The 26812-nt window shown below is 53.3% G+C and overlaps 1 pseudogene across 1 annotated transcript in view, besides 7 other annotated features; it reads left to right on the top strand.

Annotated features, from left to right (window-relative positions):
• GUCY2EP (guanylate cyclase 2E, pseudogene) overlaps nt 1-22103 on the top strand; it is a 41624-nt pseudogene extending 19521 nt beyond the window's left edge. The window contains exons 13-20 of the transcript NR_024042.2: nt 5354-5528; nt 6720-6906; nt 7610-7731; nt 8134-8211; nt 10581-10665; nt 13042-13234; nt 19469-19495; nt 21900-22103. The product of NR_024042.2 is annotated as a guanylate cyclase 2E, pseudogene (transcript). The remainder of the gene's footprint in view (nt 1-5353; nt 5529-6719; nt 6907-7609; nt 7732-8133; nt 8212-10580; nt 10666-13041; nt 13235-19468; nt 19496-21899) is intronic.
• Nucleotides 2338-2917: an enhancer, noted in NCBI's record as "H3K4me1 hESC enhancer chr11:76410396-76410975 (GRCh37/hg19 assembly coordinates)". NCBI's record gives its function as "activates a minimal SCP1, AML or CMV promoter by ChIP-STARR-seq in primed H9 embryonic stem cells {active_cell/tissue: H9 hESC(primed)}" and the evidence as "EXISTENCE:reporter gene assay evidence [ECO:0000049][PMID:30033119]".
• Nucleotides 2918-3496: an enhancer, noted in NCBI's record as "H3K27ac-H3K4me1 hESC enhancer chr11:76409817-76410395 (GRCh37/hg19 assembly coordinates)". NCBI's record gives its function as "activates a minimal SCP1, AML or CMV promoter by ChIP-STARR-seq in primed H9 embryonic stem cells {active_cell/tissue: H9 hESC(primed)}" and the evidence as "EXISTENCE:reporter gene assay evidence [ECO:0000049][PMID:30033119]".
• Nucleotides 3497-4077: an enhancer, noted in NCBI's record as "H3K27ac-H3K4me1 hESC enhancer chr11:76409236-76409816 (GRCh37/hg19 assembly coordinates)". NCBI's record gives its function as "activates a minimal SCP1, AML or CMV promoter by ChIP-STARR-seq in primed H9 embryonic stem cells {active_cell/tissue: H9 hESC(primed)}" and the evidence as "EXISTENCE:reporter gene assay evidence [ECO:0000049][PMID:30033119]".
• Nucleotides 12663-13615: an enhancer, noted in NCBI's record as "H3K4me1 hESC enhancer chr11:76399698-76400650 (GRCh37/hg19 assembly coordinates)". NCBI's record gives its function as "activates a minimal SCP1, AML or CMV promoter by ChIP-STARR-seq in primed H9 embryonic stem cells {active_cell/tissue: H9 hESC(primed)}" and the evidence as "EXISTENCE:reporter gene assay evidence [ECO:0000049][PMID:30033119]".
• Nucleotides 15048-15830: an enhancer, noted in NCBI's record as "H3K4me1 hESC enhancer chr11:76397483-76398265 (GRCh37/hg19 assembly coordinates)". NCBI's record gives its function as "activates a minimal SCP1, AML or CMV promoter by ChIP-STARR-seq in naive H9 embryonic stem cells {active_cell/tissue: H9 hESC(naive)}" and the evidence as "EXISTENCE:reporter gene assay evidence [ECO:0000049][PMID:30033119]".
• Nucleotides 15048-16044: a biological region, named in NCBI's record as "Sharpr-MPRA regulatory region 9026".
• Nucleotides 15750-16044: an enhancer, noted in NCBI's record as "tiled region #9026; K562 Activating non-DNase unmatched - State 7:EnhWF". NCBI's record gives its function as "activates a minimal TATA promoter and a strong SV40 promoter by Sharpr-MPRA in K562 cells {active_cell/tissue: K562}" and the evidence as "EXISTENCE:reporter gene assay evidence [ECO:0000049][PMID:27701403]".
• Nucleotides 22104-26812: the final 4709 nt, after the last annotated feature.

Genomic DNA, 26812 nt, shown 5'->3' with positions numbered 1-26812 from the left:
TCTCAGTCCTGGGTTTGAGCCCCAGCCTGGCCACCAGCTTCTGTGTGGCTTTGGGCTAACAGCTTCCCCTCTCTGGGCCTCTGTTTCTTTGACAGTGAACAGGAATGGTGAGCACAGTCCTGGGGGTGTTCACGGAGGATGGGAGGATCCTGTCCCCCATGCGCAAGTGGGTGTCAAGCATGGAGTGTGAGAGGTAGTCACCTCCTGCCTGCCACTCCTCCACTCTGCCCATGCTGTGGGGACCTTCCAACCCCAACCCTTCTCCTCGTTCTGATCCAGGGGGTCTAGGGGCAGCTTCAGACATGGTAGGGAAGGTACGGAGGAAGGTCCCAGGAAACAACACACCAAGGCTCTATTGGCCTTAGCCCTAATTTGTGACTCACCAGCCCTGTCCAGCCACGGCCCTCCACAAAGGCAGAGGCAGGGGAGGGCCAGGCCCTGAGGGCTGAAGCCAGATTGAAAAGGATGCCTTGGGAGGAATTTTCCGAGGACACGATGAACTCTTTGAGATGCCAGACAATCTGCTGATAGCATTATTTATAGTACCCCAACAACAATAATCACCAACACTTATTGAGTGTTTAGTGTATACTGGATGCTAGTATTAAATGCTTTATATGTATCAGCCCATTTATTCAGCAAAACAATTCATGAGGTATGAAGTGGTACTGCTAATTTATATATGAGGAAAATGAGGCAGCAGAGGCTAAGTGGCTTATTTGTTAACATCATCCTAGTGGGATCTGAGGCCAAGATTTGAACCTGATTATGCTGGTCCAAAGGCCCTTCTTCAGGGAGGCTCACCATCCCCATGACATAGACATCCTCAGGATAAAGCTGTGGGTTCATAATGGCCCACAAGCCCTCCAGGAGCTGCCCTACCTACCTCCCCAGTTGTGTCTCTAGCCGCTCCACCTCTGCAGGCCTCTGGATCCTCACACATGCCTCGCTGTCTCTAGCCACCAGGCCTTGGGACCTCTGTTTCTCCTCCTGGAGCAGCACTCTCCCTCCTCTTCACCTAGCTCCCTCCTGGCCGTGTGTCTGGTCTCGGGTTAGCCTTCTCCCCCTCCTAGATACAGTTAGGGGCACCTGTTTGATGCTCGCATAACTCCCCCTACATTGCACTTTATGTTTCCACACTGAATTACTCCCCAGTGGCCGGCAGTGTTCAGCACATCATAGATCCTCAGGAAATGTGTGTTGAGGGAATGAGGAGGACATTGAGGCACAGAGAGGGAAGTGACCCACCTAAGGTCACACAGCTGGCCATCAGCAGAGCCAGGACAGGAACCTATGGCATCCACCATGGTGCTCCATCCACTGCACCATACTGACCGACACACACCCACAGGGACCTGCACCACTGACACCCAAGGGTGCAGCTTCCCTCCTGTTCCCCACTCAGGACCTTAGATCCCCGCCCTGGCCTGCGGTTCCAAGGCGTTCCTGAGTTTCCCTCTTGCCTCCAGAGCCACCCTGGCCCCACAGCCCCAGGAAAACATTCCTCATCTCATCTCGCTGAGCCCCACAGCTTTGATCTGCCCTGAGTCACCCCGGCCTTATGTCTTCCTCCACTGCTAATCTTTCCTCACACATGTGTCCCCTGGCTCTGAATCATCCCTTCTCATCTGCTCTGAACCCTGGCCAGGAGGTCTGCATCTTTCTGGCAGAATGAAATGAAATCAAACAAGGCCCACACAACCCTCCAGATGTGGGGAAAGAGGAGGCCCCTTCTTCATGGTGTGCAAGTGTCTCTCATCACTCACGCCATCCACCTTGGTTTCCCCTTCGTCCCCAACAGGATCTGGTTACTGCTCTTTAATCCGGTCTGGGTTGGGAGGCAGCCAGACAATCATTTCCTGGTTTTGCAGGGGTCTGCAATTCCCTCCCACGCTCGCTGAGTGTGCACTTTCATGGACATGACTCCAGAGCGGAGCCGCTGGGGACTGTCACGGAGGCAAGGCCTCAGCCCCACCTGTGGCTCAGCCAGGCGTAAGTCTTGCCCTGGCCCTACTGCCAAGCCACCCTGGGCACGTCACCTCTCTGAGCCTCAGTACTCCACTTATAAAACAGGGATGAAAGTGTCTCTGGTTTAGGATTGCTCTGCAGATTAAGGAATGTGAGAGAAAGCACCATTGGTCATTTAGGCACCACCTTAACCTTGAGCACCTGCCACATGCCAGATGCTGAAAGCACAGAGGGAAAGGGCAGCATTAGTTAATCACCTACAGAGGGCTAAGTTGGCTGGGGAAATTTCACAAGTGATCTAATCTAACCCTTTCAGTGCCTGTCAGGGGTATGGATTACTATCCCTACTGTACAGATGAGGATGCAGGCACAGGGAGGGTAAATGACTCACCCAGGGTCACACAGCAAGTCAGTGGTGGGGTTAGAATTCACATCTGCGTTTGATAGTATGGACCCTTTGCTTGCACCTCTCCCCTGGCTGTTTCTCCCATCTGTGAAGGGAACCACTGCCTCACTTACAGCTGAGAGCCCACTATGATAGGCAGCTTTGAATACATCACCTTTACGAGTCCCTGGAGAGCATGCCTGTGCCTGGTCATCTTTCTGTCTCTAGGGGTAAGGAGTGAATGTTAATCACCCTGCATGTTCCCTTCCAGCTCAGGCATCAGGCAGGTCAGCAGCTTAGAGATCAGCTTTAGCAGATCAGAGAATGTGGTCTGGTTGTGTGGCCACTATGAGGCTTTCTACTCCTCCCCTCTAGTCTGGACTGTGGGGGCACACATCTGAGGCAGGGCTGGGTCCCCAGAGCTGGTGCACCGTCCCTGAATCACAGCTGCACACCCAGCAGGCAGGGTGGGAGCAGAACCTCCTCAAAAGAGAGAGAGAAAGGGCCCAAGCCATGTCCATCAAGAGGCAGCATAGTGCACAGACTCTGGAGCTGGACTGACCAAGTTCAAACCCACGCACTGGCTACAAGTGACCATGGCAAGTGACTTAATGCCTCTGACCCAGTTTTCACCTATAACATGGCCTTAGTAATAGTACTCACATCCCCGAATTCTTGTGACGATCTAATGCGTTCATAATTGTAAAGGGTTTGGGACTGTGTATGGCACATAGTGAGCACTATACGAGTATTTAAGAGGCACTGAGTCCTTTTTCCGTCTCGCCAATCAAGTAAGGCATTCCACCTCCTGCGGTGAGGAAGAAGAGAGAGAAGGGAAAGCCAGGAGTCTCTCAAAATTTTCCCTCCTGGGGAGTGGAGTGGAAAATCTCTTTTGTGGAAAGGTGCACAGCTTGGGGCAGCCCTGCCACCACCCCCGCCACTCTTACCACCAGCCAATGAATGCTGGGTGGACAGCAGCAGGCAGGCCGCAGGGCGAGAGAGCAGGCCACAGCCCAGAGGAGGGAAACATCTTTCTCACAGCTGGGGACTGGGAAGATTCTGTGCCCTAGATCACGTGTGAGCGGGACCGATGGAGGGGTGGGATTTCAGCAGTTAGAGACTGGGATAGCTTTTCAGGCAGAGGGACCTGGCAGACGTGAGCAAGCAGTAGGTGTCTCTTGAAATGGTAGAAAGGGTTTCTGTCTGGCTGAAGCATGGGGAACCAGAAGCAACTGTTAGAAAACGTCAGGAAATCCTGCAGATGAAGGAGGCCCTTGATAGCTAGGCCAGGGGGCCTGAATTTTAAGCCATGGCCATAGGGAGCAAATTGAAGTGCATATCAGAGCGGAATGTGATGTGATTAGGGCAGATCACTTTTTGGTGGTGAGGTGGAGGACAGTCGGGGTGAGGGAGAGATCACAGGGTCGTGGGGGCGTTGGTAGTGGGGCACAGCCCACACTTGCATGTTGCGTGAGAAATTTTTTGAATTACAGCGCCCCCTAAGGGCTGTGGAGCATCACGATTCTTGTGTACCAGGCGCTAAGTGCAGAAGTGCCTGGCAAGGGAGGCTCTGCCGCCCAGGCCCAGTGAAGCCAACATGTACTTGCTGTAGGAGGAACAGTGCAGGAGCCAGGAAAGACTCAGAGGGTAGAGTCACTGTCTTCACCCTGGCAGGCTTGGCCTGTGGCAGGGGAGAAGGCTATGCTTCATTCACATCTGTGTTCCAAGCACCTAGAACAGGGACTTAGGAACAGAGGAAGGTGCTTAGGAAAGGTATATGGGTCCAGTTCAGGGGGTGGAGCTGGAACCAGCCGGTGAAAGGCAGGTTTTAACTCAACTCAAGTTTTGAAAATCAGAGTTGCAGCTGGGGGCAGTGGCTCACACCTGTAATCCCAGGACTTTGGGAGGCTGAGCCAGGCAGATCACCTGAGGTCAGGAGTTCAAGACCAGCCTGGCCAACGTTGTGAAACCCCATCTATACAAAAAATACAAAAATTAGCCAGGCGTGGTGGCTCACGCCTGTAGTCCCAGCTACTTAGGAGGCTGAGGCATGAGAGTCACTTGAACCCAGGAGGCGGAGGTTGCAGTGAGCTGAGATCACGCCACTGCACTCCAGCCTGGGCAACCTTGGTAAAAAGAAAGAAAGAAAGAAAGAAGGAAAGAAAGAAAGAAAGAAGGAAAGAAAGAAAGAAAGAAGGAAAGAAAGAAAGAAAGAAGGAAAGAAAGAAAGAAAGAAGGAAAGAAAGAAAGAAAGAGGAAAGAAAGAAAATCGGAGTTGCCTAAAGAGAGAAGTGGCTACTGAAGAAGGAGAGACTTTCCTATCGAGGGATGTGAGTGGGCAAGGACAGCAACTGGGGTGGGGGAAATTGGGTGGGTGACCAGCAAAGCCCCTTCCAGTTAGGAGATTCCAAAACCGTGATGATGAGGAGGAGGACGACAGCAGCCTCTGTGTATTCAGCACTGGTATGCCTGCTTCTGTAAATACTTCACCTCTAACATTCATTCCACGTAAGAGGAAACTGAGGCTCGCCCAGGTGAAGTCGTCCAGGTAAATGGCAGGGCCAGGGCTTGAACCTACATCTGTCTCATTCCAAAACCTACATTCTTTCCAGTAAACCTTTGGAAGGCCAGCAGGGTTTGGAAAATTGGAGGCGTCCTCTAAATATATACGGTCCTCTCCAAATTAATCCCTGATGTGCCAGTATGGCCTTGAGCAGATGGGGTACCCAGCTCTGCCACCAAGGAGCTTGTGGACTGAGGCCAGAGACAAAAAAAAAAAAAAGCCACTGTCACCTGGAATACAGACAAAGGTGATCTGAAATGTACAGATCCAATCGTTGCTAAAGTGCTTGGCACTGGAGGCCTGGCAAAGATGGCACTGCGGGCCAGAGACCCACGGGGCGGGTTGGGACTCCCGAGAAGCAGCCATGTGTAGCAGAATGTGTGGTGGGCCAGCGAGGATATGTTCTCACGCTGGATTGTGAAGGCTGTGGTTTCTAGGTGGAGACCATTGGGGACGCCTACATGGTGGTGTGGGGGCTGCCTCAGTGCAATGGCAGTCAGCATGCGGCCGAGATCAATAACATGGCTCTGGATATCCTTGGCTCTGTGGGTGACTTCCGGAAGAGGCATGCACCCAACGTGCCCATTTGCATCAGGGCTGGCCTGCATTCAGGTATGGGCTAGGGGCCTCCAGGGTGAGGGGGCCACATCCATCTCCCAATCTTCCCTGGGGCGCTGGCTGGGACGCCTCCAGTGGCATGCTTCTGGATGTCTGAGATTCAAAACTCTATAGTAAAAACATTTTACGTTTCTTTTTCCTTACATTATTTTGGGGTCCTAATTATGTTATAAATAAGAGAGTCTGGCCGGGCACGGTGGCTCACGCCTGTAGTCTGAACATTTTGGGAGGCCCAGGCAGTGGGATCACAGGAGGTCAGGAGTTTGAGACCAGCCTGGCCAACATGGAGAAACCCTGTCTCTACTAAAAATACAAAAATTAGTTGGGCGTGGTGGTGCATGACTGTAATCTCAGCTACTCAGGAGGCTGAGGCACAAGAATTGCTTGAACCCGGGAGGCGGAGGTTGCAGTGAGCCAAGATGGAGCCACTGCACTCCAACCTGGGCAACAGAGTAAGATTCTGTCTCCAAAAAAAAAAAAAGAGAATATGTGATGCTGATAGTCTGATGGAAGAGGCAGGACAGAAACCTTCTGTGGTCATGCAAACAACCAAATGATTGCTGGGATGGATCTGGGAGAGCCCTCAGAGTCATGAGTATACCCTTCCCATGTCCCTACTCCTTCCACCATGGTTCCCCTCGCCTGCAGGATAAAGTCCATTGGCGCTGCCACCACCGCCCCGCCACTGCCATAGCCTCTCCAACCGCATCTCCCACCACTTCCTGCATGGCCCTCCATCCACACTCTGCTGTGTGCAGTTTCACACACACGGGTTCCCTGCCTCTGTGCCTCTGCACCTGCTGTTCCCTGCCCACTCATTCTCTCATCCTTCAAAACAGAGCACATGTATCCTCTTCTCCAGCAAGTCCCCTGGGCTGGGTTAGAGGCCCTTTTTGGTGCTGGCACAGTCCTGGTGCTTCTTTCATCACAGCCTTGATTGCAGGTTACACATCTCTCCCCACCAGGCTGGGAGCTGCGCAAGAGCAGGGAGGGGCTCTGATCTATCTACGGCCCCTCACCTCCAGCACAGAGCCTGGCACAAGCATCAGCTCCTCTCTGGATGTCATTGGAGACTCCAGTTAGCTTTATCCTCACCCCGCAACTGGAGCCCAGGAAGTGCAGTGGGGAATGGCACGGAGGGTAGAGAAGGGTGAGGCTGTCACTGGGCTCTCTCTCTGGTCCAAGACCTGCTGGAGCTCACTGGGTACATTCGAGTTTCAGGGCCCTGTGCAGCAGGGGTCGTGGGTCTCACGATGCCTTGGTATTGCCTCTCTGGGGACACTGTCAACACGGCTTCCCAGATGGAGTCCACAGGGCTGCATGAGTATCTCACACTTCTATCCTGCCCGGGGAGAGACTCTTTCAATAACCTGTGCGGCCTGGCTGTTTAATATAGTTCTTGGTAACCAAATCACCACCTGGTGGCGGCGTACCCTACTTTTCAGGAAAGCAACTACTATGTTGGTGCAAAAGTAATAGCCATTTTGGCGTTAAAACTAATGACCACGCCATTCTCCTGCCTCAGCCTCCCGAGTAACTGGGATTACAGACGCATGCCACCACACCCGGCTAATATTTTGTATTTTCAGTAGAGACAGGGTTTCATCATGTTAGCCAGGATGGTCTTGATCTCCTGACCTTGTGATCCACCTGCCTTGGCCTCCCAAAGTGCTGGGATTACAGGCGTGAACCACCAAACCCGGGAGGCAGAGCAGTGAACCGAGATCGCAAAAAAAAAAAAAAAAAAGAAAGAAAGAAAGAAAAAAAACAGCTAATGGCTAAAGCTGCAATTACTTTTGCACCAACCTAATAGACGGAGATGATATACGTCATTGGCTCTTTTAACTTTCCACACAATATTTGTGGTGATCTCATGAGGGCATTAGCAGAGAAAACAATGACTCAAAAGGCAGGAAATCTGGGTCCTAGCCCTGGCTCTGCAACTGGCTTGCTTAGTGTCCTTGGGCAAAATGTTCTTCCTGTAGGCCTTAGTTTCCCCATTGTACAAAGAGGAGACCCTTTAAAGTGTTTTTTTTTTAATTGGTCACGTGCCACCTCCTTTTATGCTGGGGCAGTCCTGACACCACCATGAAGACATCCCCAGCGTTTTTGGCCCTTACTGGCAGCAGGAGCTACCATGATGGCTTGGCTAGAGCAGCTAAGATGTTGAAGCCCCAGGTCCTCTGCCTCTGGCTGTGTAGGTAGTTGCTCCTTAATGTTCAGAGTACATACATCCCGCATAGCTGGACGCTATGGCTCTACTGGGAAGTCCTGCTCTTAAAAGAAAACTAAAAACTGTGTATCTTCTCAGACTCAGCCTTCACAGACTTGCTTACAAGTAGAAATTATGTTCCTAGGGGTTCTGACTCCATCGTGAGTTCCCCTTAGCACTCAACCTATGTAATTTGCTTTGCCTCTGGGTCTCTTTTAGTGTTCCAACAATTTAGAGGGACAAGAGGCCCAGAAGAAGGGTATTGCATAAATCATCACTATGTGTATGATTGATTGGAACTGCAGTCGTCGCAGCCTCTTAATGATTTTACCAAATACTAGGTATGCTGTCACCAGGTGATGATCTGATGACTGCCTTTCTTCTCAGCATACAGAATTCATGTCAGCCAAAGCACTGTCCAGATACTGCTCAGCCTTGATGAAAGCTACCAAATTGATATCAGAGGTCAGACTGAGCTGAAGGTGAGAGAATTTTGTGGTCTTTGTGGGAAAAGTCTCCAAGGATCCAGTTTCTGTGGGAAGCAGGAAAGATTCTTATCTGACTGATGTGGCTGCCCAAGTTGGGGATGTAGCTGGTCACCTTTACATGCCCTCTATGCTCTCCAAATTCTAAAGAAACATTGCTTCCTGGGAGCCATCTTGCTCCTTGTGAGAGGAAAGGCCAGGACAGAGAAGTCACTTCTCCTGATGACCTGTCTGTGTAGCACGCCAGTGTACAACACACATCAAAATATTTATCACTCATAGTAATAATGAAAGGAGCATCGTTGTCCCCATTTTACAGTTGAAAAAATTCAATTAAAGAGGCAGAGTGGCTTGTCAAAGTCACATAGCTCGTAATTCAGATCTCATGGCTCCAAAGCTTGTGCCTTCTCCATAGCACTGCTGGGCTCCTGCCCATCCCTCAGAATCCCAGATCAGACATCACCTCTCACTGCAGCCTACCCTGACCCAGGAACACTCATCTTCCTCCTCCTTCCCCACAAACAGTGACTGCCATGCCTTCTCTGTGTACCCACCAGTCCCAAGGCCAGTTCTCTGCTGTTACAGTGTAATGTTGGGTTGTTAATGCTCATGATTACCTCAAAGGCAGAGAAAGGTCTGTAACCTGTGCATTCTCTCTCAACATTACCATTCTATAAAGGCAATGGTACAGCATTCCTTTCAGTGACTTTTCTTCCTACCCCACCTCCTCTTCCTCAAATTCCTAAGCTGAAGCCAGGTCTAGCAGGGAGACCGGAGCAATCTAGCTTAAAGGCCTGATGCACTGGGTCCCAGAAATTCGGTGCCATATGGGACTCACTTCATTACACTGTGGAACGTCGGTGCAGGAGGGTGCAGCACAGAGACGGGCAGCAACTTGTTCATGATCACACAGCCCGTGAAGGCCAGCAAATGTGGAATCCTTTGCTCTGTATGGCTGGGGTTAGGGGAGAGTGAGCTGGAATAAGTCAGGGCAGATGTGTCTTATTTAGGGGGGTGAACACTGGGCGTCCTGAGGAATGGATGACTTATGCCAGAAAGGGACACAGAGAGTTGTGGGGAGGGCAGCGAGGCGTGGAGAGGGTAGAGAGGCGTGGGGAGGGCAGAGAGGCGTGTGGAGGGCAGAGAGGCGTGTGGAGGGCAGAGAGGTGTGTGGAGGGCAGAGAGGTGTGTGGAGGGCAGAGAGGTGTGGGGAGGGCAGAGAGGTGTGGGGAGGGCAGAGAGATGTGCGGAGGGCAGAGAGGTATGGGGAGGGCAGAGAGGTGTGCAGAGGGCAGAGAGGTGTGCGGAGGGCAGAGAGGTGTGGGGAGGGCAGAGAGGTGTGCGGAGGGCAGAGAGGTGTGGGGAGGGCAGAGAGGTGTGGGGAGGGCAGAGAGGTGTGCGGAGGGCAGAGAGGTGTGCGGAGGGCAGAGAGGTGTGCGGAGGGCAGAGAGGTGTGGGGAGGGCAGAGAGGTGTGTGGAGGGCAGAGAGGTGTGCGGAGGGCAGAGAGGTATGGGGAGGGCAGCATGCCAACCTTAGGCTCTTCAGGCTGGCCCAAGGGCTCCAAGGACAATATTCATCCCATAGAGCCCTGGCCCAGGATGGGACATGGAACCTCCAGCCCAGCCAGCCCCGACCCTCATGTTCTCAAGCCCCCTCGCTCCTGACCTTCAGGAGCTGCATTCCCACCCCAGGGGAGGCCACCATACCAGGTCCTTCCATTGTGAAGGCTGGAGAGAATCACAGATGGTGGGATCTTAGCACTCTAGATCCGCTGATCACAGGGCTCATGATTCTTTTCTCTCTCTCTCTCTCTTCTTTCTTTCTTTCCCAGGCTGGAGAGCAGTGGCGCGATCTTGGCTCACTGCAACCTCCACCTCCCAGGTTCAAGTGATTCTCATGCCTCGGCCTCCCGAATAGCTGTGATTACAGGCATGTGCCACTGTGCCTAGCTAATTTTTGTATTTTTTAGTAGAGATGGAGTTTCTTCATGTTGGCCAGGCTGGTCTTGAACTCCTGACCTCAAGTGATCCACCTGCCTCAGCTTCCCAAAAGGCTAAGACTATAGGTGTGAGCCACCATGCACCCAGCTGGGTTATTTCTTTAACAGAGAAATATTAACTTATTTAGTCTTTACAACTTTGTGAGGTACTGAGGCAATGGAGGCACAGAGAAGTAAAGTAAGTTGGCCAAAGTCACACAGCTAGGAGGCAGCAGAGCCAGGATTTCAATCTCCAGGCTCTAGGCTGCTCTCCATGGAGCTGTTGAATCACACATTTTGTCCTTGCTCTTCAGCTTGAGGAGGTTTGCTTGGGGAGGGACCTTCCCATCCCCTTCCCTCTCTCTTCCAGGGGAAGGGCATCGAAGAGACCTACTGGGTGGGGGGAAGGCAGGCTTCCCCAGGCCCCTCCCCGCACCTGTGGACATCAGACCTGGGTGAGTAAGAGAGATTTCCCAAAAAGCTTGGACGTTTTTCTGATTATAAAAGTATTTCCCGCCTAGTGTGGAAAACTTGGAAAATACAGAATTCTTCGAATATTCAATAATCCCCGTCTTTCTACTCCTGGGAGGTAGCTGCTGTTAGCACTTCAGCAGGGCTCCTACACACCTGTTTCTCATGTGCTTGGCGTGCGTGAGGTCATGTGGCCCAGATCACTTCTCATCCTGACCTGTGCCCTCAGCTCACTGTCCTGAGCACCTTCCTGTATTGTTCAGAGTACTTTATAAACATACCCACAGTAGGCCAGGCACGGTGGCTCACGCCTGTAATCCCAGCACTTTGGGAGGTCGAGGCAGGTGGATCACCTGAGGTCAGGAGTTCGAGACCAACCTGGCCAACATGGTGAAACCCCGTCTCTACTAAAAATACAAAAAGTAGCTGGGCATGGTGGCGGGTGCCTATAGTCCCAGCTACTCAGGAGGCTGAGGCAGGAGAATCGCTTGAACCCAGAAGGCCAAGGTTGCAGTGAGAGGAGACTGCGCCATTGCACTCCAGCCTGGGTGACAAGAACAAAACTCTGACTCAAAAAACAAAAAACAAAAAACAAAAACCATAAACATACCCGCAGTGACTGCATCTGGATTGCAACATGTGGACACTCCAGGATTGCAACATGTGGACACTCCAGGATTTGCAAAGCCTATCTCTATTGCAGAGAATGCAGAATCTTTCCATTTTGAGCTGACTACAGGTCATGATTTGCTAAACATTATCATGCATTTATTGCTATTCAGACTATTTCTGCAGATGACAAATTTTTAGATAAAAAGAGCACCCACATTTTGGGGGCCATGTGAAGCAGATTCTCAGAGAGCTTGTGCCTGTTTGGTGGTTTGTCTCTTCCCTCTGTCCTCTGTCCCCTAGAACCCATGTCCCTCACTGAGGGCAATATAGATGGGGTTGGGGAAGGGAGAAAAGTTAATAACATTTTACTTCAAAGTGCTCTTCCCTACCCACTTCCACCCCATCAGTGGGCAGGCAGTCTGCAGAGGGTCGGAGGGCAAGGGGCACAGGTGTCGCCAATTGCCAAGAAGGTCCCAGAGACCATAGAGGCTGACTGGCTGATTGCACTGGTAGGGAGGCTGAGCGTGGGGAAGGGCAGGGACCCACCTGGCGTGCTACATTGCCACCACATCAGTGCCTGGGCCAGAGCTCAGGCTTGCTGTCTCCCTGCCCAGAATGCACCCTTCATCAAAACTTCCAACGGGCTCTGCTCAGTTCTTCCAAGATAGCCCCCCACCCAAGGCCACCTCTTCCCATCCCTCAAAGACAAGCAATATGGGCTTCCTGGGAAGGGACCACAGTTGGAGCAGCCCAGGCTGAGCATCCTCCAACCAGGCGGGACTGATGTGAACAGGGCAGGTCACAGCAGCCTTTCCCCTCCTGCTGTTGGGGGGCCAAGGCCTTGGGACCCCAGGGAGCCTGGGGCACAGCGGTGCCTCAGGGCAGGAGTTGCTGCCGTTCATCTGAGTTCCCCCTTGCCACACACATCAGGGTCCAGAGGGGCTCCCAGCAAGGGGGAGAGGGAAAGAGAGTGAGTGCGTGGGCAGAAACCAGCATAGGATGGCGAGCCTCCCGGGGTGCAGACACACAGGGACACCCTTTTCACAGGGACACGCCAGCCTCTTAGAGGCAGAGCCAGCTTGCACTGGTAGAAAGGCCTTCACACGGCTGGGGCCCTTCTCCTTTGCAGAGTGATGGATGGCCTGCGGGACAGGCAGCGTGATGTGAACGCAGGGCTCAGGCCTGGCCCTGACTGTTGTGTGGCAGATCTTGCTCCTGTCTGGGCCCGTTGGGCTCTGTGGCTGGACTCAGTCCTCAGCTCCCCCGTGGCCCTCTTCTCCCTTCCCTTACGTGGAGGGCCTCTCCTCCTGTTCTCCTCCCTGTGTCCTGAGGAGTGAGCCCTCCTCTGGCCTTGCCTCCCTACCAGCGCCCACCCCACTGCTCATCTCCACTCAGAGCTCAACTTCTCAGGAGCTGGCGGCTGCCGCTGACTTCACTTCCTCACCTCCCACTCCCTCCTCGGCCCCCGCAGTCTGACTTCCACCCCCTCGGGCCAGAGGGCTCTTCGGAAGGTCTCCGGTGACCTCCGTCCATGTCACCAGATCCGGGGGCAGTTTCAGTTCTCAACCTGACTGCTCAGCAGCGTTCGCCCTGCTGCCCTCCTTTTCCTAAAAGCTCTTTCTTCCCTGGCCTCCTCCTCTGGCACCAGCTCATCCTCCCCTTCTTGGGGCCTCCCTGTCTACCCAGACACTAACGACACCCAGTACACGTCTCGGGCTCCCACCCCACTGGGCACCAGGCTCCCGTAGCTCTGGCTGCTCACTCAATGGTTCCTTCTGGGGCTTCACAGCACCACGGATTGCAAAGCTCCAGCAACCCTTGAAACCTGGTCCTCCAGCATCCCCAGTCAGACAGCCCAACACCATGCCAAGCTCCTGGCGTCTCCGCACCTACCCCTATCCATTAGCAAGTCTGGAGCCTCCAGAGCCTCTGGGGAGGCAGGTGGGAGTCCTTGCCCCCTCCCAGGCCTCAGGCTCAGATCCTGCACACAGGATGTGTGTGTGCCTAGCAGCCCCCACTCCATCACACATCCCTCCTCCGGCTGGCTTCTCCACCTCCCTGCACCCACCCTGGCCCAAGCCACCACGTCTCTCAGGTGGCCCGCCGCAGGGCTCCTAGCCAGTTCCCTTCCATCCATCTCTACCCGGCAGCCAGAATTATCTTTTAAAAATACAAACATGGGCCGGGCGTGGTGGCTCACGCCTGTAATCCCAGCACTTTGGGAGGCCGGGGTGGGCAGGTCACTTGAGGTCAGGAGTTGGAGACCAGCCTGGCCAACACGGAGAAATCCCATCTTTACTAAAAACACAAAAATTAGCCAGGTGTGCGGCAGGTGTCTGTAATTTCAGCTACTTGGGAGGCTGAGGCATGAGAATCGCTTGAACCCAGGAGGCGGAGGTTGCAGTGAGCGGAGATCGTGCCACTGCACTGCAGCCTGGGTGACAGAGCAAGACTCTGTCTCAAAACAACAACAATAACAAAAGTGACAGACATGATGGATAGGACAGGTTGCTGCTTCTAACCCTTCCGGGCTGTCCCATTGCCCTAAGACTAAGCAGCCTTTCGTGCAGCCTCCAAGGCCCTGCGCTGTCCAGCCAGTGCCTGCCCCTTGGCCCGGCCTCTCCTGCCACCTTCTGCTGCTCACCACCTGCTCACAGGCCTCCTCGCTGTCCCTAAAGCACACCATGTTCTTCCTACCTCCGGCCGCTTGCTCTTGCTGTTCCTCTACCTGGAATGCCCTTTCTGTCATCCTGGTCTCAGTCAAATGCTGCTTCAGTCAGGAGGTGGCACAGGTCACACACTCTAGATGGGCCCTGCTGTCACCCTGCAGCTCATTTCCCAGCGTGGTGGCCCCCACAGCACTTGTAACTACTGACACTTCTTGTTTGCCAGTTGACGGAGCTTGCCCTGCCCATGTAAGACTCAGGAGATCCCGGACCGCCAAGACATCGGCACATCCGTCCATCGGTGCTCAGCACCCAGGGAATGTGACCTCTTGAGTCTCCTATGCACCAGCCGCCTTCCACCAAGTCCCCTGCCCCAGTCTGTCCCTTCAGGCACTACTGAAAATCCCAGCTCCCAGCCCTCACCCTGCCCACCCTGTCTCAGAACCCGGAACCTGCAGATCCGGCAGCCATTTGTCATCCTGCGCCCCTTCAGCTGATGGCTTTTCTGGACAGAAACTTTAGAAAGTGCCAGAAATGTTTTCATCTTCTTGGCTTAGAGGGAGAGAGGAGAGCAGAGGTTAGTTGCAGTGGGCACCACCTGACGTGGGAGCCTCCCAGACCTCCAGGCAGGCAGGGGAGGGTCTCCGCACCCCAGTCCTGCACATAAGCTCACCAGGTGCACACACTCGTCATGGGTGTGGAACACCACGTGCCCCTCTACTTGTCTGGAGATGAGATCACAGACAGACAGACAGACAGACAGACACACACACACACACACACACACACACACACACACACACACAGAATCTCTGCAGGAGGGGCTCAGGACAGGACAGGCTGGATAAGAACTTGTCTTGGAGCCGCATTTACAAAGCAGTTACCAAATTTTTGCTTGCACTGTATGTTATAATTTGATTTTTATTTTTTTGAAGCCAAGTTTCCTAAAAATGTTTTTATCCCCACTTTATGTATTTCCCATATCTGCAGAAGTGATTTATCTTTCTATCTGGGGATTTTGAGGAGGCTGGTGGAGATCGGGGGAGGGAACAAAGGGCCCCCCCATACCCCCCGCAACCATGTCTTGGGGTAGCCACAAACTCAAGCAGCAGTGCCCACAGAAGCACTTTTCGTGAGACATCACAGAGACACTCCACACAGTGGCCCCCTCTCTCCTCTGCCCCCGCAAAACAGGCGCAAAAACCTCCCCTGCCAGCCAGGTTGCTGCGAGACCCTGGCTGTCCCTCAGAGCCTGGCTTTCTTCTCTGGGTAACGGCAGTGACCCAGCTCCACCCTGTTCCTGGCACCTGTGGGCAGCAAGTGAGAAAAGGAAAGTGTGTAGGAGTCCATGGTCCCTACCCTGGATCTGTATATTACCTGGGAGTCACAGAAGCCCTCACCATGGCCTCCCAGCCGCCCAAGGTCATGTCCTGAGTAGGGGTGGAAGCTGGGGTAGTTCCCCATCTCCTAGGAGGCCACTGTACTTGAAGCCACACCTGCAGATGAATCAGCAACGGCATGGCCTTGGAAAAGACACTTCACCTTTCCCAGCCTCAGATCCCTAAAGTTCAAGGCAGGGCAGGTGGCGTGTGCCCATGGCCGGGCTGCTCGCGGCCCAGGAGCACGAAGGAAGTGAAAGGAGCTCCCCGTCAGCAGGGTGGGGCTGTAAAAGCTACGACTGTGGCTTTCAGTGGTCGCTTTGTGATTCTTGTTTCTCCTTTTTCTCCAGAGACCCTTAGTAAGACTTCATAAACCAAGAAATCAGGGCAGACTTTGCCAAAGCCCATCAGGACACGGCAGGGACCCAGAGCTCCGGGAAGAGCTTGGCCAGGCCCTGAGTAGAACGGTGTGGGGCAGGTGCCTGCACCAGCGCGGAGCCTCTTGTGGATACCCCTTCCCCCTCCCTGCTCCACTTCCTTCAAAGACTTCCTTGCTGAGCTCCCTGGTGGCCAACCTGGTGCTTGTTACTAAGTGCCCAGAGTGATAGTAATTGATGCATTCCCATAAGAATCCTAGAGCTGAACTTGCCTCTCAACACCAAAACAATAAAAATAGAAACCCTCCCCTCCTTTCACATGGTGCTTTGTCCTCGGCAAATGGTTTTGATGCAGAGAGCTCATTACCATGAGAGCCGACCCTGAGGAGCCCTGTGCCCACTGCTGGCTGCAGGGCCCAAGGCCCAGGGGGAGGAGGTCATTTGCCCCAGGTGGCACAGCTGCTTTGGGCAGAAGCAAGGCTAGGACGAGGAAGAGAAGCCAGGCAGACGAGGGCTCCAGGCTCAGCTGGCCTCCCACTTGCAACATATCTGTTTTGTCATCTCTGAAAGGGGCATTGAGAGGATTCAGAGCTTCTAACACAGGGCCTGGCCCATAGGAAATGCTCAAAGTGCGCTGCCTCCTTCCCTGCCTCTCCTCCCCAAACCAGCACGTTGCCTCCTTCCCTGCCTCTCCTCCCCAAGGCAGCCTAAACCTTCGGGTGTCTGTGAGCACTGTGTCAGGAGTCCAGGCCTTGGGACACAGGAACTCAGAAACTCAAGATGGAGGAGGGAAGGTGAGAATTCCTCAGTTTTCAGGAAACTGAGATGAGAGTTCTGTCTTACAGAAAAAAAAAAAAGAAAAAAAAAAAACCCAACAGCCAACTTATTAAATTGGCTTCCAACATCAAAGAGTGCTCACCAAATCCTCGCGGGTGATTTCAGAGCAGGCAAGATCAGGCACACGTGGAATTCATTTCCCCAACTGAGGGGAGAGGGGCGGGGCCAAGTGGGCAGGTTAAGCCCCAAACAAACTTATCCTTTCCTCAAAAGACCCCTTAGGAGCGGGGAGCTGGTACGAAAACTTTGAAGTGGTGGTTGTTGGGAAAATGTTCTGCCTGAGGGCTGCTGTGCCCACAGACGCCAGGGTGCCCCTGTGTGTGTGTGTGTGTGTGTGTGCGTGTGTGTGTAAGAGACAAGAGGTATGTAAGGATGTGATGGTGATTGTAGAATTGGCTTTGGGAGATGCCACTGCCTGTCCCTACTTGTGCAACTTTGGGCCTAACCTTTCTATGCCTCAGTTTCCTGAAATGCAAAACGGAGCCAGTTACTCTTACATCCCATATCATCATGAGAGTTAAATGAGAGGACTGTGGAAACACCACATCTGACCCTGCGAGCCTGCAGGAGTGTTGAACAGGGAGGATCTGCACGCGTGTATCTGTGGAATGTGCCCATGGCTTGTGTGTGATTGTGTCTGTGTGTGTGGGACAGCTGTGGGGTGGGGTGGGGGAAAGGGACAGAGATGTGGCCCTGGTTTCTCCACAGGCCCTCTGGGTGGCCCCCTTTAGGGCTATGGATTTTCTCTCAGGGCTCTAGTTTCTTCATCTGTAAAATGAGTACATGGTCTAGGTGACTCCTGAAGCCCCTCTGGGTGCATAGCTGTGTGTCTGCCGTGAGCATCCATGAGCATATGCATGGGTTTGTGCCCTGGCACCACAGCTGGGCAGGAGGAGACTGGAGCTCAACCAGGACTCCCCTTTCCTACTGTGGACTGAAGGCCTGTGTTCTCCGCCCACATTCCTATGTCGAAACCCCAGTCCCAATGTGATGGCTTAGGAGGTGGGACCTTTGAGAGGTGATCAGATTATAAGGCTGGAGCCCTCACAAATGGGATTAGTGCCCTTGTGAGAAGAGGCCAGTGAGCTAGCTCTTTCCACCAAGGGAGAGCACAGCAACAAGGGGCCATCTGCGAACCTGTAAGAGAGGCCTCACCAGTGCCAGGCCCTGACGGCACCTTGATCTGGGACTTCCAAGCTCCAAAACGGTGAGAAGCAAATATCTATTGTTGAAGCCCTCCAATCTGTGTTATTCAGTTACAGCAGCCCAAGCTGACTAAGACACCCGCCAGGAGCCAAGTGGCCCAGGCTGGTCTGTTGGCGCCTCTAGGCCTTCTGTTCCTCGCTGCACAGGAGGGTCCAGGCCCCTGCCCTAACTGCCTTATGAGGCTGCTGTTAGATCAAGGAGGCAGTGCGTGTGAACACACGCTCAGCTAAGAAGTGTGGTGCAGATGTGACTTGGGGGGTGGGGTGGGTGAACAGATCTGTGTGACCTTGTATATTTAAGTGGACACCAGAGCTGAAAGGGACCTTTGCAGGCAAGTGACAGTGAGCCTGTGCCTATGCCTGTGGACATGTGTGGGTTGTCATTGTGTCTGTGTCTGCATGTATGTGCTCATCTGTGGGCATCTGTGCATGTTGTCTGTGTATATGTGCATTTATGTGTCCGTGTGTTTCTGTGTACATGCATTTATGGCCTTGGTGTGTCTACATGTATGTGGCTTTACTGTGTATGTTATGTGTCTGAGCGTGTCTGAGCACCAAAATCTGGGGCAGTGGTACATCCCTTCCTGTCCCAAAATCTGGGGCAGTGACACATGTATCTGTGTGCATACCATGTGTATCCATATGTGTGATGTGTGTCCAAGTACCTGTTGTGTGCATGTGTGCTGTTTGTCAGGGTGTGTCTAGATTCAGCCATGGGTCTTCATGCTCTTGGGCCCTCTGGAAGGCTGTATGGTGGGAGCAGCTCTTGCCCCTCTGCTCACTCCCTCAACTGCCCTTGCTGAGAAGGGCTGAGTCAGCTCTGTTCTTAGAGGCTCCTAAGGACTCTAGGAGGAAACTCTGGCTCCAGAGCTGACATACTGCATGTAACTAGACTCCCTACATTGGTCTGTTTTCACACTGCTATAAAGATACTACCTGAGACTGGGTAATTCATAAACAAAAGAGGTTTAATTGATTCACAGTTCTGCATGGTTGCGGAGGCCTCAGGAAACTTACAATCATGGCAGAAGGCAAAGGGAAGCAAGGCAACTCTTATATGGTGTTGAGAGAGAGAGAGAGAGAGAGAGAGAGAAGGGGGAAGCGCCCGACACTTACAAAACAACCAGATCTCATGAGAACTCACTCACTACCATGAGACCAGCCTGGGGAAACCACCCCCATGATCCAATCACCTCCCACCAGATCCCTCCCTTGACACGTCATTCAGATTACAATTCGAGATGAGATTTGGGTGGGGACACAGCCAAACCATATTTCCCCCCCACAACACACACCAGGGTTCTCACCTCTCTCTAACCTTCCTCCATCAGCTAGGGACAAAGGAAGAAGGCCCATGCCCACCTGGATCCTGCATCATGCCCCAGTCCGGGGCTGGCCGTTTCCTCCTGGGAGGCTTTATGTCTCATTTATTTCCCCACTTACCTGCTACCTGCTGTGGGCCAGGTGTGTGCCAGGAGCTTCATGCATATTGTCTCAACCATGCCCACTCTCTAAAATGAGAGTTATTTGCTCACTTTACAGATGAGGAACTGGAGGCTTGGAGGATGAAGTGCCTTGTATGTGTCAGCCCATCTGTCTCCTGATCTGAGGTGGTGATGCAGGGCTACAAAAGCCCAGAAAAACAGCAATGGTCCCTGGAGGGTTCCCAGGGGAGGCAGCCTCAGTGAGCACACAACTTCCTCTTCTGCAGAACAGGGGTGAGGACAGCACCTTCCAGGTGAGTCTGAGGAAGCCCTCAGGAGGAGCCAGCACGGCATTCGCATGGGCTTCCATGCACATGCTCAGATGGGACCCCAGAGATGGAGCCCCAAGTCATGGCTTTCATGATGAGTCAATGCCAGCTGGTGCCAATGAAGGCCCCCTGCCTTCCCCCCAGCAGCCTGTGACCATTCACCTGTCCCTTGGAGTACATTCCCAGCAAGGGGACATTCTGGCATTTCTAGAGGTTGGGTTCTCACTATGGCAGATGGAGCTATGGGCTTCCAGAAGGTCCTTGCAGGGCTGGGTGATCTGGAATTGCTTGGTCCCTGGTTCTGCAGGTGGGCACACTTTGAGATGGACTCCTTAGAAAAGCCCAAATACTTTAGCCTGGCATTCAAGGCCCTACACATGCTGGCCCCACCTCATCTGCCCCCTACACAACCAACTGTTTGGCTATGACACACTCCTTACACTTCTGCAAACCCCTCATGATGCGGCATCTTTGCTCTTGTTATTTTCTCTACCTAGATGACTTGTCCCTTTTTCAACACCTGGTGAATGCCTCTACATCCTTCAAAGTCCACCTAAAATGCCACCTTCTCCTGAAACCCTTTCCCAGTCCTCCTCGGTATGGAATTAGTAGCTGCCATGCCTGATCCTCACTTGACAGGAGGGACCTTATCTAGTTCCTTCCTTTAGTCCAATGCCCAGGAAGAGGCATGTACGAGAAAGCTGAATTGATGAATGAACAAATTAAGGAACTAACTAGCCCAAAGGCATCGAATAAATAATCTCCCCTCCCGCAATGCCAGCTCCTGAGGTCGCCTTTTGGTTTCTCCTCTGCTGTTCTCTGCATCTGAGCTTGGTTGATCTGATGCTTAGCTGGGATCCCGGCACACCAGGCACAGGCAGCATGTCAGCTCATGGCTCCCCTCGCAGCCCTGCCTCTGCTCACCACTGCCCTTATGCTGCAGTGGATGCCCTCACCTCCAACCCCTGCACCGGCCTGGAGGCTCTTTCCCAGCTCCCTGTTTCCCACTCCTTCTGGCTAACTCCTTCCTCTCCAAATCTCTGTTCCTCTGCCACTGCCTCCAGGAATCCTTCCCTGACACACTCCCTTTCATCCCAACGTGCTGTGGGAGGGGGACCTCCTCTGGCCCCTCAGCCCTGGGCCACCCTGTCCATCACTGACTACACTCTAGGTATGGTCTTGTGTCAGCCTCTCCCTGCAGAAGGGGGCTTCTGGAGGGCAAAGGTGGATCTGAACCCTGTTTGTGTGACCCCAGGGTCTGGCCAGTAAAGTTCAGTGGGGAAGAAATATGACAGATCAGGGGAGGTGAAGGAGGCTACTGTGGTGGCAGGTGAGCCTCCCTTTAAGGAAATCCACGTGCATGACAATCAAGATTTGCTCAAAAGACAGAGTGGAGTCTACACTCTCATAGAATGGGAGGTGAAGTGACACAGAGAAGGAGGGAAAGGCCACACATGTACTGAGCACCTGCTGTGTGCACCGTCTCAGGACCCTGCATCTTCATTGAGTGGTGAGGACACGAGGCTCTGAGAGGAGACTGACAAACCAAATGGGCTGCTGCGTTCCCCGGGGCTGTGGGACACCCAAGCCCGGCTCCTTCTCAAGGGCTGGCCATGCCACCTCCCATGTAGGCTCTGACCTGGCCTTCCCTGCACAAGTCCCTCTTGCTGGAGGCCCCAGTCTCTCCATCAGGACCAGCGCAGGTTTCCGCGGCCTGAGAGACTCTTTGAGCAATCCACTAGGGGGCAGGCAAGTTGTTCCAGAGTGAACCAGGAGCCCCTCTGGCAACCCAGGAGACTCGTGGGCCCCTCCCCAGCCCGCAGGCTCCCGGGGCTCCGCTGCCCAGCAGGGAGAGGGAGGAGGGGGATACATGGAGTGATGGGGCACCCCACGGAGGAGTCCCACGTGGGAAACTTCCCTGAATGACTGAAGCACAAAGAGAGTTCTTCAACAACTCTCCATTTCTCACTGGCGCACTGGGGAGCTGGATGTGGTTTTTGGCTCTGTCAAGTGCAGAGTGTGGGCTCCAGGATATGGAACCTGGCCCCTGTGCATCGTGAAACAGCAGATCTCAGGGTCCTGTCCCCACCGGAAAGGCCTGGCCCAAGTTGGCGTGTGTCCAGGATGTGTCCAGCCTCCAGACACTAACATTTTCTATGACATAACGCATAGGCGATCATCGTATACCATTCTTGCCTGGATGCTGGCTCCTGTGGCCTATCACACTCTCTCCTGGGAGGCAGTTGTGACTGCCCCATCTACAGACAGGAGAAGCATCTCTGATCTGTGGACATTTCCCCGTGAGCCACAAATTACCCTGACTGCTCTGCCTGGTCTCCTGGTGCAGAAATGGGTGATGGCCCTCTCTTCCCTGTCCTTCTCATGACAGCTCTCCACCACCTCCACAATCAGTCATCAAGTCCTGTGCGGCCTGCCACGATGGTCTCCGACTTCGGTCCACAACAAGGGCACCAGGCTTCATGCTGCTCTCTTGCCTCTATTCCCACCCCTAATCTACCTGCAACGCAGACCTTGCGACGTCACTTTTCGACTTAGCAAGTGTGCACTACTGATGACCAAGGGCCTTTGCTGAGGAGCTCCTGCCAGCTGGCCCTGCCAGCTCTCTCCCCTGGCTGCCCAGCCCCTTTCTATCCCTATGCCCTGGCCCGTCTTGTCCTTCCAAATCCCTCTGACCCCCAGTTTCAACCTAGAGAGTTTTTATTCTAAAAAGTATTCCTTTTAGTAGTTATATTTACCCATTAAGGCCTGGAGCCAGTGGCCTGGAGATAACCTTCCCCATCACTATTGTGTCCGGGTACAAAATCCTTCCAGCTTGAGGAACATCACAATATCGTCTCAGCATATTTTCAGAATTGTTATTACAGACATGGGCTGGTGGGAGCTGGCCATGAGGGCAGTCTCTGTTCTTCCCATGTGTTCACCTTGAGCCCACACTCTTCACTTTGACAGAAACTAAAACCACATCCAACTCCCCAGTGCAACTATGAGAAATGGAGAGTTGGTGAAGAATTCCTGGGAGCCAGAGAAGACAACGCATCATGGCTCACCACGCAGCCAAACTTCATGAACTTTTTAAAGCCTCAGTTCTCCTTCCCGGAGTCCCTTCCCTGGCAGCTGCTTCACCTTTCTCCATCCTTTTCCCATCACCCCTCATCCCCAAATCTCCGTGTTGTCCCCAGCCCACCAGCACCCAGCCTCAGCTTCCTTATTCATTGGTGGTTACCCAAAGAACAACTACAAGACTGGTCCAAGGTCCAGGAACCCTTTAAAGGGGTGGCTCAGGTCTCCCCAGGCACTGACTCCAAGGCTTCCCCTGTGGGCAGCCCATGGGAGGGTCTTTATTTCACTAGAAAGAAGGAACTAATGTGGATGGAATATCTGCAATGTACCTCTCACTTCCATCATGCAAGGCAAAGATTATTCTCTATTTTCGATGCAGCTACTGAGACTCAGTCCAAGGTCACCCAGCAAGCCAGTGGCAGAACTGGACCTCAACTCCAAAGCCCCCACCACCTGCACCACCCTGGTGGCCTTATGGGCCCCAGCCAAATACTATATGGAAAAAGGTGACTCAGACAAGGTCACCAGCTGCAAGGTAGGGCCCAGCGAATGGAGCTGGAGTAGGGTGCAGAGGACGGGGCAGGTGAGGCCAGGTGAAGCCAAGGCCAGCAGCCAGGTCTCTGGATGTGGATGGAAGAGTTGAGGGGGCAGATGCCAGAGTGTGCTATGGGCCCAGGTCAAGGTCAGAACTTGCAGGGTAGGTGGGACACGGAAGAATGAAAAGGCGGAGAAACTAATGAACTCTGGCCACCCGCCTGGGGAAGCCCACTGGAGGGCTGTTTCTTCCCACAGCCACCATGCCCTCTCACTTGGCCTCTTGGACTTATGTAGCAGGGAAATGAAGAGCTTTTTGAACTGGAGGCTCGGCTTTTTTTTTCCTTTTAATGGCATGGAAACCCCACAAGGTAGTTTCTGCAGCCCTCACCTCTGGTAACTCTAAATCAGGTGAAAGAGGGAGAGATAGATGGGAAGGAAGAGAGAGAGGGGGAGGGAGAGGCAGGAGAAAGAGAGAGGGAGAGGGACTTTGATAGAGCTAACTGGGCACAGCTAGGGAGAGCAAGAAAGGGGAGAGGAGATGGTGGAGGATGTATGTGGGTTCGTGATATAGAACCTGGCCCCAATGTGTGGTGAAAGAGACAGGAAAACGGGAAGTGTGACGTGGACTCAGACGCCCTGGGCCATCAAAGGCTTTTAAGCAGGAGGGTGACCTGGTCAAACCTGTGTTTTGGAGAGACTCCATCTTGCTGCCATGTGGGGCCTGAGTGGATGAGCGGGAAAAGAGATCCTGGGCCAGGAAGCAGCCCTGGGGAAAGGGCCAGGGGAGAAAACGCCAGGCCGAAGAGGGAGTGAGAGCCGGGAGCTTCCACCTTTAGAAATCAGGTGGAGGAGGAAGAGAAGGGCCCGCAGCAGGATCCTGAAGGAGATGCAAGAGAGGAGAGAGGAGGGCCAGGAGGGGGTGTTCCAAGGTGCCACGGGAAGAAGGCCATTAAAGGAGGAGGGGAAGCTGTGAAGAACATAGCCAAGGGACGTGGACACTGTCCCTCGGTCCGGCCACAGCAGTTCTGCCATGGATGTGCTTGCTGGAATGAGGGGCTGGAGACAGGTGGAGAGTGGAGGCAATGGAGGCAGCAAGAGTGGCTTTCTTGCAGGTAGCTCCCTTGTGGGTCTGGCTAGGAGGAGATGAGAGGAGGGGGCCACAGCTGAAGGGAACCTGGAAGACCCAGAAGGGGCTTGTGAAACAGGGGCGTGTACAAGAGGGCTTGCCCAGAATGTTCCCCAGGAGGCAGGTGCTGCCTCTGCCAGCAGGAAGCACAGCCCATCCACCAGGAGGCCAGGTGGTCACTGATGCCAGCAGAGGCAAGTTTGGTTTTGGGAGTCAGGTTCAGGCCTCAAATCCGGGTCTCCTGACCCCAGCACCACAGGAGAGAAAAACCAGCAAGCAGGCTGAAGTCACACAGCCTAGAAGAGGTCAGGGAGTGGCAGCCCTGAGGCCACATAACCCCTTTTTAAGCTTCCAGACCTTCAGAGGGATTGGCTTGGGGACAAGGCCTGGCATCCATCCCTCAGGAGACAGGATGCAGTACTCTGCATTCTGAAGCCCCAGCCCAGCTCCCAGGGCCTGAAGCTCACAGCATCCCAGCTGGATTAATTATGAGATTCCTGGGAGGCCAAAGGAGTCTGTCTGACTAATTTAGCCCAAACTATGTCCTTTCCCCTCCTTTCCTTTTTCACTTCAGGAAACCAGCCCTAGTGGAAGCCACTTGACTTATGTGTGGTCTGCTTCTGAGAAAAATCAGAGTCACAAGCCACGCGAGATGACAGCCTAGTTCCCATGACCATGTGCACCTGTGCCTGTGTGTACAGGCATGCTCACGTGTGTGCGTGTGTGCACGTCCATGCACACAGACGAGAGGCTTATCTGTGCTCTCTGCTGTGTGTGCACTGGGTTTGGGGAGCCTTGGTATTTTAAGTCTTTATTGTACATACTGGATGTGAGCTGTGTTTGTGTGCAATGTGTCTGGTATGTTTGTGAGTGTGGTGTTCGTGTAGGATGTATGGATATAGTGTGTGTACACGGTGTATGCTCAATGTACATGTTTGTGTTGTGTTTTGCACATGTGTTTAATTGAGAGTTGGATTTGTGCAGGATGTATGTAACCATGTGTGGTGACTGTGTGACTTTTGAGGGCGTCTCTGAAATGTCTGAATGTTTGTGAATCGTGTGTGTGCCTACGTGAAATTCGTGTATGAGGTCGATGCATGCTTGTTGCTTTCGTGAGTCGTGGCCCTGTGCATCTCATGTTGCCTCTGAGGGTGCATATGAAGGATGTGTGTGTGGCTGTGGCTGGGCTGTTGTTGCAGGTGCACTATGTCTGTGGGGCGAGTGCATGTGGCTCTCATCAGCAGGTGGAAAAATGTCATAGGGGAAGGGGGTGAAAATCCAATGTAGCAGAGAGGGCAGCCCCCTCTTGCCTCCTCCTTGCCCCTGTAGAGCCTCAGCTTCCCCTCAATGGATAATACTTGAAGGACTCTAGGAAGATCCTATGGTCATGAGGAAGCTGGCAACATGACTAGGACAAGATGGGGGCTCTGTGACCTGTGCCTAAGAAGACCCTGTCCCAGTGACAACTGGGTGTGCCCAGGCCTTCGCCCCCTCACTTGCCCCTTGAGGGCTTCCACCTGCCCCCCTGAGGAACGCTGTACCCTCATGCTGCCTACCCATACTGTCCCTGAGGGGCAGCCACAGCTACATTCTAGGCAGGTTTCCTCCCTACATCCCCTGACCACAGCCAGGGAAAGCTTGAAAACCACTTCTCTCTCCCTGAAACAAACCAGCACAAAGACCATAGCTGCTGCCAAAACCCTCAAATGCTGACCGGGGCAGGGAGCACCGCAAGCTGTGCCATTGACTGGTGAGGAACAGCTTAATACAAACGCACTCACCCTTCAAACTGCCCTAGTGGTCCATTGTCCATGGCTGCCCTCACTCTACTGGGTTCAGAGGTGAGGCCACCAGCCCAAAGTTACACAGCAGTGAGTGGCGCAGCGAGGATGGGAATGCGGGTGGGTCTCTCTCCTAAACCCAGGTTGCTTCTCTTCCTCCGTTCTGCCCTTCTCAGTCCCCTCCTCACCCCACCTAAGATGGGAGGGGGAACACAACTACACACAGAATGTTTAGATAATTTGCTCTTTGGGCTCATTAATGCTCCTTCAAGTGACGAAATGATCGAGTATTCAGTGGGTAGGCGCTGGAGCCCCACTGCCTGGACTCACCTGTACTGGCTGTGCAAGCTTAAGTTAATTACTCATCCTTGCTGCATTTCCTCATGTGTCATCTGCAAAATGGAGCTGCTGCTAATAATAATAATAATAATAATAATATCTACCTTCTTGGGTGTAGTTAAGGATTGAATGGCTTGCAATATGACAGCTGCATTAGAAAGCTGCCTGGCCCAGCCTATACCCTTCCCGACTTGAAATTACTCACAGTAAGAAAGATTAATAATCCTGTTAACCATAACCTTTACATTTCATTCCTTCATTTCTGCGATGCAGTGAGGGAGGGGCTGGCGTTATCTCCACTTCATAGGTGAAAGCTGGGCAACTATGACAGCAGGGGCCAGGGCCTGCCCCGAGCCCCACCGCAGAGCCTGCCTGCCCCTCATCATCACGGTACTTCCCTGGAGCAGTGCGTCTCAAAGGGTGGTCTGAGGACTGGCA

The sequence above is a fragment of the Homo sapiens genome, chromosome 11 (genome assembly GCF_000001405.40).
Source record: "Homo sapiens chromosome 11, GRCh38.p14 Primary Assembly".
Lineage (NCBI taxonomy): Eukaryota > Metazoa > Chordata > Mammalia > Primates > Hominidae > Homo > Homo sapiens.
Note: the sequence above shows the minus strand (reverse complement) of the source record. Positions and strands in the feature narration are given on the sequence as shown.